This window comes from Homo sapiens, chromosome 3 (assembly GCF_000001405.40).
Source record: "Homo sapiens chromosome 3, GRCh38.p14 Primary Assembly".
Classification (NCBI taxonomy): Eukaryota; Metazoa; Chordata; class Mammalia; order Primates; family Hominidae; genus Homo; species Homo sapiens.
In genome coordinates, this window is record NC_000003.12 from 37,904,536 (window position 1) to 37,916,806 (window position 12,271).

Here is a 12,271-nt window from a genome sequence, read left to right on the forward strand (position 1 = left end):
ACTCCCTGGCTAGAGAACTAGCCCACCCCGGGCTCCCAAAGATCAGTATCTGTGAGTGCCAGACTGAGACTAGACCCTGGGAATGGCATAGCTCACCAGAGCCTTGGTGTTCAGCCTGTGGCTCTCTGCTCAGCCCCCTTTTTATAGAGAAAACGTATGAGTGGCCAGGAGTCCCTTTCTTCCCACATGGCCAGGATATATCTCCCTGTTGCATCAGACAGACCTGATCCAAATCTCTGCTACTTCCTTCTCTGATCTGGGAAAGTCATTTTGCTGCCCATCCTTGCCTCTTAAATGCAATATTACAGCAGCCTCCTAACTGGATTTCCTGCCTCTAGGTCTCCTCATCATCACCCTGTCCATCTTTCCAAGTAACTAGCCAAAACATGACTCAGTCTAATCACTCCTCTGGAAGCCTTCAGTGCCTCCTCACTGCCTACAAGAAACAGAAGGTGGGAGAACCTTCCTTTGTGATTTGACCCCCCGCTGCCTCTCCGAGTCTTGTTACACTTTGTACTGCCCACAGCTTCAAACACGGGGACTCAGAAAACATTTAAAGATGGAATGAATGAATATAAAAAGTAAAAAGCTGAGCAAAAATGCTCTAGTGTTTTTAATTTTGTAGTTACAGAGCTATCATGCTAATATCTACATAAGATTAATCATTGGTAGTGTTTTCACAGTTTCCCTGATACAAGCCTGTTATCCAAAGAATTGGGAAGCCTGCCTTACTTCATAAAGGGGGCAAGGTTTATAGAATATATAAAGGAAATTAAGAGTCAAATAACGTTTTGATCTTTGATTTTGAATTTGTCTCAGATAATGCCTACAAAAAGGATCTCAATGATTCATTCTTTTTTTAGCCAGCCAGTTCTCCAGTCAAGTTTTAAAAGACTTGGAAGAACATGTGATTTTTAAAATATCCTGGAGTTTTTTTCCAGGCCTGGGCAACTCGTGGGTCAATGCACAGCTATTTCTGTATGTAAGTAGGCTGGGAGAATACTCTGTCAGTTCACAAAGGCCAGGGGCCTGACTGCCTGAGCTAGGCTTCCTTCCCCCCCTCCCTCCTTGTGCCACAGCTGGGCACTGCAGAAGTGCAGACATGTTCTCCAGACCTACTTGTGTTTGCATACCTATACCTGCTGCAAGGTGTTTTATTCTGAGTTGTGGTTTCTTTAGATTGTGAGAACCTTGGCTCCCATGTCCAAGGTGTAACACACAGGTCTGAACAACATAGGCTTTGGGAACTGTACCATGGAGAAGTAGCTTTGGAATACACCATTTATAAAAGAGAAATAAACAAATTCCAGCTGATTTGAAAGCCTGATATTTTTCCAGGTTTTAGTCATGCTTATAGGAGAAGATACTCTCAAATCCAATGAAGAGGAGAGAAGAGTATGGACTGGCACCCAGGGATTGAGTTCTCAGCTCAGCTCTGCAAATCGCCCATTGATTTTTCTGGGCCAGGCCTTTCCCCTGCAGAGGCGCAGTACCTTTCAAGTCAGGAGGGTTGGGTTAGTTAGTTCTTGTGCCGGATGTTTTCTGTTTGCCCTCCACATCTACTCTCTGTCCTACCCTGTGCCCTGGAAGCCGACCAGTGGGGACTCTATGAATGGGCTTCTTTGCTTCCTGGCCCCTATTGTGTGCTTTGCCCAGTGGGGAGCACTAACAGGAGATCGGAGGAAGTATTGATTTCTCCTGGCTCCACCCTGTGGCATCACCAAAGGTCTGGGCTCCTGGCAGGCAGCCTTCTCCACAGGGCGCTCTGTCTCAGGGGTCCAGCAGCCTCTCCTTCCTCACCCTTTTGGGCCTAGGCATGTAAATGTGCGACTGTTACTGGTCCCAGACCACTGCACTTCGGTCCGTTCTATAAATGCTTCCCTTATTAAAGTCTCCTCAGATTACTCATTTTGAGAGTGCCATCTGTTTCCTGCCAGAACCCTGCTGGATAAAGTTCCTAAGATCTTTTCCAGCTCTGAAAAAAGATGACCACAAGCAGGGAGGAGCCAGCCCTTTGGAGCTCCTGTTTTTCACTGGTGCCTCCCTGAATGGTTCCCCAAGGTCATGGGAAGGAGGAACTGGTAGCAGTATGATCTCCAGGGCACAGAGTCCCTTAGGACAAGAGCCACTGATGCCCTGGTAGACACAGACTGTTAGGAACCTGATTCCCAAAGAGTGTAAAGTGTGCTGCTGTGCTGCCCACTCTAGTAGTGGGGAGAGGGTAAGGGACAATCCCACCAACTGAGGCTGGACTGTCACTGCCACTCCTTTCTGCCTTTGTGACTAAGAAAGTCACTTCGCCCTCTGAGCCTTTCCTTCCCTCCTAAACCAAAGCTGAGAATACCCACTCTGGCCCACACACAGTGGTTATGAGGTACAAACGAAGGCGTCTGTGTTCAAACTGCTTTGTTGAATGTAAAATGCAGGACTAAAGAGAGTTACAGTCATAAACAGCTTTTATTGTGGTAGGGGTCACAGCTAGGGCACAGAGCCCAGTAGGGACATTACCCCTGCTCCTGTCCCTGCCAAAAACCCCCACTTCCTTTTGTTCTTTCCTGGTATGTGCACTTGCTGAGACATATATGGCTCTTCGAGTGTCAATTTTAGGATCAAAGCATGACCTAAGTGATACCAAATTACAAAATCATGCCATCAAACTGCAGCAGCCGCCTTCTGACATCTCTGGAATTTAGATTCTGACCTTGAGGGTCTTAGGTGGCCATTTATGGCCTTCTAAAAGCAGCTGCTTCAAAATAGGTCTAAGGGAGGAGAATGAAGGAAATTAAGGGCATTTTTAAACCTATACATTCTTAATTATTAAAGTTATCACAGAGACTTCTTGAAATACATGAAAAATACATTCTTGAAAACTACAAATGTCAAGTGCAATTTTCTCTCTAAGGAAAAAATTAAGAGACTTAAAGAACTTGAGTCTTGTTCATTTGACACTGTTGATATTGTTCACCCATATGCATATAGAGCACATGTGCAGGATGAGTGGAGGAGGTGAAGGAGAAAGGATGAAAGAGTGACAGGCTGGGAGAGGACAGAGCATTAAATGCCCTGGGTGGGGGTGTACCACAGTGTATTTATCACACAGCAGTTAGGAACTGTACGTGTATCAGTGTGGGGGAATGTTAAGAACGTAGAGCTTAGTGGAAAAAATAAGAATGAGATGCACAGACTAATATTTCTATAAGTTAAAAATAAGTGCTCAGAAAAGTACAATGCACATTTTTCTAGCACTCCTGTAAACACAAAGATATACTTTAAGCATGTTAGAAAGTTTGCCTGTGGGTTGAGGGGAGTGGAGGTGGGCTGTGAGGATAAAGGGAAATAAAAAAGCATGTATACATACAGCGCATTTGCCTAGATACGGCTAGTGGTGTGCCAGGAACTATCACACATGGTAAATGCGACCCTATGCTCCTGAGATGCAAAACAAACAGAAAGTCTGCAGGGTTTTGTTTTTAAGAAGTCTGAAAGCTTCTACAGTTCAGTTTGCATGGGCTTCCCCATAACCCTCAGTGTAGCAGCTAAACCACAAGTGGTTAATGGAACAAAAGTACCCTTTGTAGGGTCAGAACAGAAACACAGCACAAACGCTGCCTAGAAACCACATGAAAGAAGGGATGCTGTGAGCCGCCCTTCAGGCTCACTTTTGGAAACTCACCACCTGGTAGCCCCCGCCAAGTGGGCGAATGTCCATCACAGCAGGCAAGAGTATTCCAAATGTGTTTCTGTTTTTAAAAAATCTCCTAATAGAAAGTGGAAGGTATGGCAAATGCATGTTAAGCCTGTAAGAAGAGACTGCATACAGTATTTTGATTGATATACCCTCTATAACATTTTAATATCTTTATCTCAATTATTCTTTCCTAATGTTGCAGTTAACTGTATTTTTTCATTTTGCTACGTAGACTCTGTCATCATTATTTTTAATGGCTGGGTAATATTTTATTGACTAAATGTACCAACATTTATTAGCCATTCCCTCTTTGTATGACATTTAGGCTGCTTTCTGCTTATGCCACTTATAAGCAGTGCAGAGAGGAAGGTATCTATGCTGCATGTATAGCTTCTTCATATTTTAAATTAATCCCTGACGATAGACAGGAAATTGAATTACTGGGTAAAGGAGTGTACAAACACATCTATGACTCTTGGTGCAAATTACTAAATTGCTTTCCAGAAGGATAGTAACAATTTACACTTCCACTAGCAGTGTGTTCTTGGACCGGCATTGTGTTCTATAAGTTCTTAATTGCCAATTTAAGAGCCAGTGTACATTGTTTTTATTTTTGCATTTCTTTGATTAATAGTGAGGTTGAAAATTGTCCAAGTTTGTTAGAGATTGGTATTTCTGTTCATATTGCTGTTGGAGTGGTCTTGGGTTATTCTTTTCCGTATATATGTAGCCTTTACTCAATATCGATATTTAGTCTTTGTCGTAATTACTACAACTATTTTGTTTTCCCTTTTAGAATTCGAAATTTTACATAAAGTGTTTTTCTTTAAATAAACCGATACCAATTAATTGGTCTTTCTCTTTATTTTGTTGGGCTAAATAAAAATGAAGATACCCTTTTGGCTAAATTCAAGAAAGAAATTTCACAGCATGGCATGATGAAAAATGCATCAAATTGAAGGCTTTGAAGGTAGACAAAGCCAGGTTCCAGTCCCTGCCCCTGTGGTGTCCTGGCTGAGCAAATCACTGAAGCTCTCCAAGCCTTGCCGAATTCATTTCTGCCATGGAAATGATACCCAACTTCATTTGTGGGACTGGGATCATGAACAAACACTGGCATAGCAGATGCCCAATAAACCTGGGTGCTCTTCCCAGATCCTAGGGCTGAGCAGGTCTTTCAGGGTGGCCAAGTGGCTATTTCAGAGAAATGGGCTTCAGGGCTCACCCCAGACTGCCTGTGGCCTGCCCCGCACTGCCCTGGAGCTGGTCATTTCCTTCCAGGCAGGAGGCCCAGGGACATGGCAGTGACTGTGCTTCTTGTTAGTAGCTCTGAACAGTGGAGCTGTTGTTCTGGCATATCTGGTAACCAACTTCCTGTTTTTCCCAGTGTGGTGATGTTCCTTTAGTCAACAGCAGGAGGGAAAGAAATAGTCCTGGATGGGTAACCTCGGTTTTCTAATCCTTTTGCTGGAAGAAATTCTGGCCCTTTCCACCATGGACTCTGTGATCACGAGGCTGTGTGACCTTGAGCTCTGGGCCATAAGGCCAAGTCCCACATTTGGGGAGGGAATGAGGAGACAGCGAGTCACTATTGCTTGTAATTCAGGATTGTGGTGCCCATGAACTAATGCTAATGTAAAGGTGTGTTGATTAAACATTAAACATTTATTTCCCACAAAGTGAATGGTATCACACATTCCTGTTCTCACATTCTAGGAAGAATGATTAGGACATGATCACTGGGGCCAGACTGCCTGAATTCAAATCCCAGCTCCATCATTTTTAGCGATATGACTTTAGGCAAGTGACTTAACTTCTATGCTTCAATTTTCTCATCTGTAAAATGAGGAGAATAATAGTACCTCCCTCAGAGGGTTGTTGTAAGGATTCAGTGAGGTAATGTGAGTAAAGTATTAGCAGTGTTCTAGGCCACATAGTAACCACATAATAGTTAGTATAAAGTCTGAATATTTTGGCCTGGCGCAGTGGCTTACACCTGTAATCCCAGCACTTTGAGAAGCCAAGGCGGGTGGGTCACCTGAGGTTAGGAGTTCGAAACCAGCCTGGCCAACATTGTGAAACCTCGTCTCTAATAATAATACAAAAAATCAGCCGGGCATGGTAGTGGGCACCTGTAATCCCAGCTACTCAGGAGGCCAAGGCAGGAGAATTACTTGAACCTGGGAGGCAGAGGTTGCAGTGAGCCAAGATGGCGCCATTGCACTCCAGCCTGGGCAACAAGAACAAAACTCTATCTCAGAACAACAACAACAAAAAAACAAAAAACAAAAAAAACCAGTCTGAATATTTTACTTGCTAAACTCCAGTTGAATTCATGGTAAAGGTAATTTGGTAAAATTTCTCAGTTCATTAGAAGTAGACAGTATTTATGAATAATCTGCATGGAGTGTATATTTAAATATATTTCTTAAAAGTTAGCTATAAAATATTATAAAATCAAGCTTTTCTTTTTATCTGCTTTGATTCTAAAATTCAGGGCTGTATTCTCATGAAAAAAGTTTGCTTCCCACTGAAATAAATGCCTCTTTGTCCCAGGGAAACACATAGAGTCTGAATTACTCCATTCTACAGGGTGGGTGCCATGGGGTGATGGAGAGAGGTGTGAGCTCACCACATGTGAATGTGGTCCCTGCTGTCTGGGGGAGGTAAGACCCTGGGTTACAGCCCTTCCCAAGCTCTAGTGGTTCCAAGGTTGAGGCTTCTGCTTCCCCTGCTGTGGGAAGGCAGGCGTCTGCCCCTGGTTTATGACTGTAAATGGATTTGCTGGAGGATGTTGTCCTGTATTTCAGGGGTGCTAACAGAAAGGTAGACCTTACAAAAAACAAACAAAAAGAAATGCAGACCGTAGAGTGTGCACATGCGGTCATTTAAGTCACTTAATGCCCTTGCTTCCTTCAAAACAGTTCTCATAAAAGATTGACTTGGTTTATTGCTGTACTCAGGAAATCAAAGCAGAGGGCAAGCCCCAGATGGGATTACAGTGGCTGCTGCATTAGCTTTTCCACAGAGTGGTGGTTTGTCAAGGTGACCGAGCTCTAAGTTAAGAGGATAGTACTCTTCAGGTTTTACAAACTAGAGAAGCTCACACCTTTAAGTAACAATTTTCATTGCCTTTGGAACTTCAGAACTGAGTCAAGGCTGCAGAGTGGTGACTTCCCTTTTGTTACTCTGCGAAAACTGGGAGAAAATTAAGAGCAGGGCCTGCAAGATGTGGGAGCTCAGAGCCTTGAGGGAAGCAGAGCCGTGGAGCTTACACAGAGAAGGCTGAGGGGTGAGGGAATAATGAAGGCTTCTTTATCTGAATTAGCTATAGAGTAGCTATTTCTAATTCCACTGAACCCCCAACATGAACCTTTGGCAAATAACAGGGATTTTTGTTGGAGAAAAATGTTTGTCTGGTTGAACGTTTTAGTGGGTTTCCATTTCAGATTCTCTTTCTGAGAAGGGCAAGAAGACGAGTGGCAGAAGAATCAGAAAGTTGTCTACACACCTGGGTGGCAGGTGTAACCCTCGCTAAAGAGAGAAGGAGGACAGCCAGGCGCGGTGGTTCACGCCTATAATCCCAGCACTTTGGGAGGCCAAGGTGGGTGGATCACTTGAGTTCGGGGGTTTGAGACCAACCTGGGCAACATGGTGAAAGCTCGTCTCTACTAAAATACAAAAATGTATTAGCTGGGCGTGGTGGCGGGCGCCTGCAGTCCCAGCTACTCGGGAGGCTGAGGCAGGAGAACTGCTTGAACCTGGGAGGCAGAGGTTGCTGTGAGCCAAGTTTGCACCACTGAACTCCAGCCTGGTCCTGATACACTTAGAAGTCAAAAACCGTCATTAGGAAAACCTCTTCAGTTAACTACAGTTCTGCATATTCATCTGTGACTCTAAAAGCATCCTGATTTATGTTGTCTTTGGAGGGAGTGAGGGGACCTAACCTCCTTTCACAGCCCCGCAAGTGGGGTCCACCCAGGAGTGAGTAAGAGTGGCATGGCTTCCCCCTAGTGGAGGGGAGGCCGGTTCTTTCCTGCACTCAGCCCCGGCCACTCCTACCTTCCAGGCATGTGTTTACAGGCCAGAAATGTTAAGGTCTGAAGTAACAGGATTTGTAGTACCCAGCCTCTTGCTGCTTTTGAAATCTTTTCTTTATAGGCCATTTTGAATTAAGGAATCTCTGGGTGAGGGAGAGGCTTAGTAAACAAACTAGGTGTTAGGCAGGCTGCAAGCCACCCAGGCACAAGATGACCACACGAGGCTGAGGCACCCCTGTGTATTCAGGATGGGAAAGAAGGGAAGTGATGCTAGCCGAGGCCAGCTGTGTGTTGGGGGGTATGCGGTACTGGGGACGTGGGAGTGAGTTCTGTCTTCAGTAATAACAAGGGCAAAAATGCACTGGAATCCAGTTATTTTGAAGGGAACTTGGCACTATAAACAAGCGGACCTTGACTCTTAAGGATTTTGTGAGAGCCTGGCAAGTTAGTAACTTGCCTATTCCATTAATATTTATTGAGCATCAGCCACACATTAAGCACTATGTGTTAAACCCTCACAAGTCTAGTTTGCTGTTTCTGTCATCCTGTCTTCTCATCATCATAGCCCAACAAAGCTCTAGTATATTGCCAGCAATGGCTTCCATTTATTAAATAATTGCTATGTGCTAGATACTGTCCTAAGTGTATTACAAGCATTATTCCATTTAATCTTCACAAAAATTTTCCTTTCACATATAAGGAAACTGAGGCTCAGAGATCTTAGATAGTTTGATTAGAAGTAGTTTGATGAGTGTATAAATGAAAAACAGTATTTGGCCAGATGTGGCAGCTCACACCTGTAATTCCAGCGCTTTGGGAGGCTGAGGCAGGCAAATCGCTAGAGCCCAGGAGTTTGAGACCAGCCTGGGCAACATGGCAAAACCCCATCTCTACAAAAACGCGTAAATTAGCCAGGTGTGGTGGCATGTACCTGTAGTCCTAGCTACTCAGGAGGCTGAGGTGGGAGGATCGCTTGAGCCCAGGAGGTGGAGGTTGCAGTGAGCTGAGATTGTGCCACTGCACTCCAGCCTGGGTGACAGAGTGAGACTCTGTCTCAAAAAAGAAAAAGAAAAACAGTATTTTAAAACCTAGTTCTACCTGATTTATCCACTCCTTACATGCCTTCTAAATGAGCAAACAGAGCAAGACTCTGGCCATGACCTCTATATTCAGGCTGGCTGGAATATTTTGGACTAAAATCAGTAGGTAGCAAGACACAGTGCCTAAATCCCTGCCTTTTTAACCTGGAAAACAGAGGGGGAATGTTGTTTGATTTCCTTAGAAGATTGTCTTGCTTTTGAGTAGAAATGAGAATTGGGGAGACCTGCAGTCTGGAAGGATTTATTAATCTGTTTATTCTCATTTCATATCAGAATTTGGGTGACGTAGTCTATCTGCCTCATGTTATAGATGAAGAAATTGAGGTCCAAAAAGGGGAAGAACTTCTCTGGGATTACACAGAGAGTGAGGATATTGCTCCAGGAACCTACCAGCGTTGGTTTCCGTCTGGTGAACATATATGTGCCTGAGTTTCTGGGCTTTCTATTCCATTACACTGCTCTTTTGCCAAAATGACACTTTCTTAATTACTGTTGCTGTATAATAAGTTTCAGTATCCGGTGGGACAAGTCTATTATTGGTCTTTTGCATTTCCATGTAGATTTTAAAATCAGTTTATCTGTTTCCAGTTCCTACAAAATGAATAAACAAAAACTGCTATGGTTTTCATTGAGATTGTGTGGAATCTGTAGGCGAGTTTGGCAGAATTGACGTCTTCACAGTATAGAATCTTTAAAACCATGAACATAGTATATCCCTCCATTTATTTATGGGCTTTAAAAATTTCTCCAAATAACATTTTAGAATTTTCTGTGTAGAGGTCTTGTTACATATTTTTATTTACTCCTATTTATTTTATATTTTGGTTTTATTGTAAATTGCAACTGAAAATTTTTCCTTTTCCAAATGTTTATTATATTTTCAAGCTATATATCTCCCAACTGTTTAGTTTAGGAATTTATCTGCAGATTGTTTTGGATTTTCTACACATACCATTAAAATTCTGTGAATTATTCTCCTTTTCCCTATATATTTTTTCCCTGTTTGATGTTAAATAGAGGTAGTGATGCAGGCATTCTTGTCTTATCCTTGATCTCAGCAGGAAGCCTTCAGTATTTCACCATCAAGTATTATATGTGCTGTAATTATTTGTAAATACCATATCAGATTTAGGAAGGTCCTATCTAGTCTTAGTTTGCAAGGAGTTTTATTATAAATGGATGTTGAATGTTATCAAATTATTTTTCTGAATCTATGGATATGATCATTTGATTCACCCCTTTATTCTGTTAATATGATGACTTGCATTCCTGCAATAAAATTAATTTGCTAGTGACATATTATCATTTTCATATACTTTTCTGGATTTAGTTCCCTCATATTTTATTCGAGGCTTTGCTCCTAAGAAGGATTTTTTACTATAATTTCACTTTTTGATAATGTCCTTGTCAGATTTTTGTGTCATGGTTTGGTTAGACTTGCAAAATGAGTTGGGAAGTGTTTTTTGTTGTTGTTGTTTTCTGGAAGAGTTTATATAAGATATATATGTTCTTTTTTTTTTTTTTTTTTTTTTTTTAGAGAAAGGGTCTCACTCTGTTGCTTAGGCTGGATTGCAGTGGTGTGATCAAGGCTCACTGCAGCCTCAACCTCCTCCTGCCCTCCAGCAGTCCTCCTGCCTTGGCCTTCCAAAGTGCTGTGATTACAGGCATGAGCTGCCATGCCCAGCCAGTGTTATTTTCTTTCCCAAGAGTTTGTTTAACATTGTTATTTGTTCTTTAAAAGTTTTGACATTTTCTCATGGTATTTTGATGATATTCTAGTGTCTTCTGGCTTTTAGTATATTCATTAAATGAATTGTTGGTCTAATTGATACTCCATTGATCTGTTTTTCCTCCCCTCTGGCTGCTTTTAAGATTTTCTCTTTGTCTTTGGTGCTGAGCAGTTTACTATGATTTGCTTAGGTATAGTTTTATTTTTATTTATCTATTTGGGGTTTATCCATTTAAGATCTTGAATCTGTGTTTGATGTCTTCAGTTTTAAAAAATTCTTGGCTGTGTCTTCTACTCAATTCTCTCCTCTCCTGTGACTCTAATTATATATCTATTAGTCCTGCTCACTACTCCTTTATCTTTTACCCTCTCATCTTTATTTTCTGTCCTTGTGTCTTTCTGAGTTTCAAACTAGATATTTGCTTTTGACCTATCATTTAGTTCATTAATTTTTCTTCAAGCTATAAAGTGCTATTAAACCCCCATATTGAATTCTTAATTTTAGTTATTTTGTTTTTAAAATCTAGAATTACTGGGTTTTGTTTTGTTTCTAGTTCTCTGAGAAACTTCAATTTTATCTTTTACCTCTTTGGACTCTTTAAGCATAGTTTTTTTATTTAAAAATCCCATATCTAATAACACCTTTATTTGTAGCCTTTGTGAACTGTTTCTATTGCCTGTTGTTTTACTTGGAATATAATACATTCATCTTGTCTTATATCCTCATATACCTAGTTATTTTTTATTAAGTGTCAGACATAATAGGTGAAAACTTCTAGAAATAATCTGAGGCCTTTGATGATGTTATCTTTCCTTAGGGAGAATTTATACTTGTCTCTGGCAGGCATCTGGGGCACTATGAATCTGGTATGACTGTGATTTCATTTTCAGAGATTGAGATGGCCTCTGAGAACGAGTCCACTTCTTGTGGTTTACCTTTAGGCTTGGGTATAGCCCTTGGAGAATGGAACTCCAATTTCAGCCCACCTCACTCACAAGCTGTCCAAAGTGCTGCTCAGCTTCTCAGACTCTTTCAGAAGTGGCAGGTATCCCAACAGGAAGAGTGTCCCTAAATCCCAGGCGGACCTCTCTGGATTTCTCTCTTCACCAGAATCTTGGCCCCATTATTCCTCACTACCTGCTAATTCTCCATAACTTGAAGCAGAATTTTTAAAGTATTTTTCTAGCTTTAGAGTTAGTCCGAGCTAACATTATTTCAGGTGTTTTTTTTACTGTGGTGCTTTTATTCTCATGGTACTTGTTGACTGAATCTTGTCCTCCAAAAAGATATGTTGAAGTCCTAGCCCCTAGTACTTCAAAATGTTACCTTATTTGGAAATAGGTCGTTGCAAATGTAAGTAGTTAAGGTAAGGTCGTACTGGAGGAGGGTGGACCCTTAATCCAGTATGACTGCTGCCCTTATAAGAAGAGAAGAAAAGAGACACAGACACACATAGGGAGAAGATGATAGAGGCAGAGATTAGAGTGATGCATCTACAAGCTAAGCAACACCAAGGATTGCTGGCAAACACCAGAGACCGGGAGAGGCAAGGAAGAGGCATGGCCCTCCTGACAGCTTGATTTCACACTTCCAGCCTTCAGAATTGAGAGACAATAAATTTCTGTTGTTTTAAGCTATCCTGCTTGTGGTACTTTGATATAGCAGCCCTAGAAAACTAATACAGTGCTTTATAATGTACAGAGTACTTTCCCA

The 12,271-nt window shown here is 41.9% G+C and overlaps 1 protein-coding gene across 5 annotated transcripts in view, besides 2 other annotated features; it reads left to right on the forward strand.

Moving 5' to 3' along the window:
- The window catches only part of CTDSPL (CTD small phosphatase like), a 122,590-nt gene that overhangs the window by 42,656 nt on the left and 67,663 nt on the right, over positions 1–12,271 (forward strand). The window lies entirely within an intron of this gene.
- Positions 1,463–1,757: a silencer, noted in NCBI's record as "tiled region #2528; K562 Repressive non-DNase unmatched - State 23:Low". NCBI's record gives its function as "represses a minimal TATA promoter and a strong SV40 promoter by Sharpr-MPRA in K562 cells {active_cell/tissue: K562}" and the evidence as "EXISTENCE:reporter gene assay evidence [ECO:0000049][PMID:27701403]".
- Positions 2,209–2,258: an enhancer, noted in NCBI's record as "active region_19674". NCBI's record gives its function as "activates an Ori minimal core promoter by ATAC-STARR-seq in GM12878 lymphoblastoid cells {active_cell/tissue: GM12878}" and the evidence as "EXISTENCE:reporter gene assay evidence [ECO:0000049][PMID:35858748]".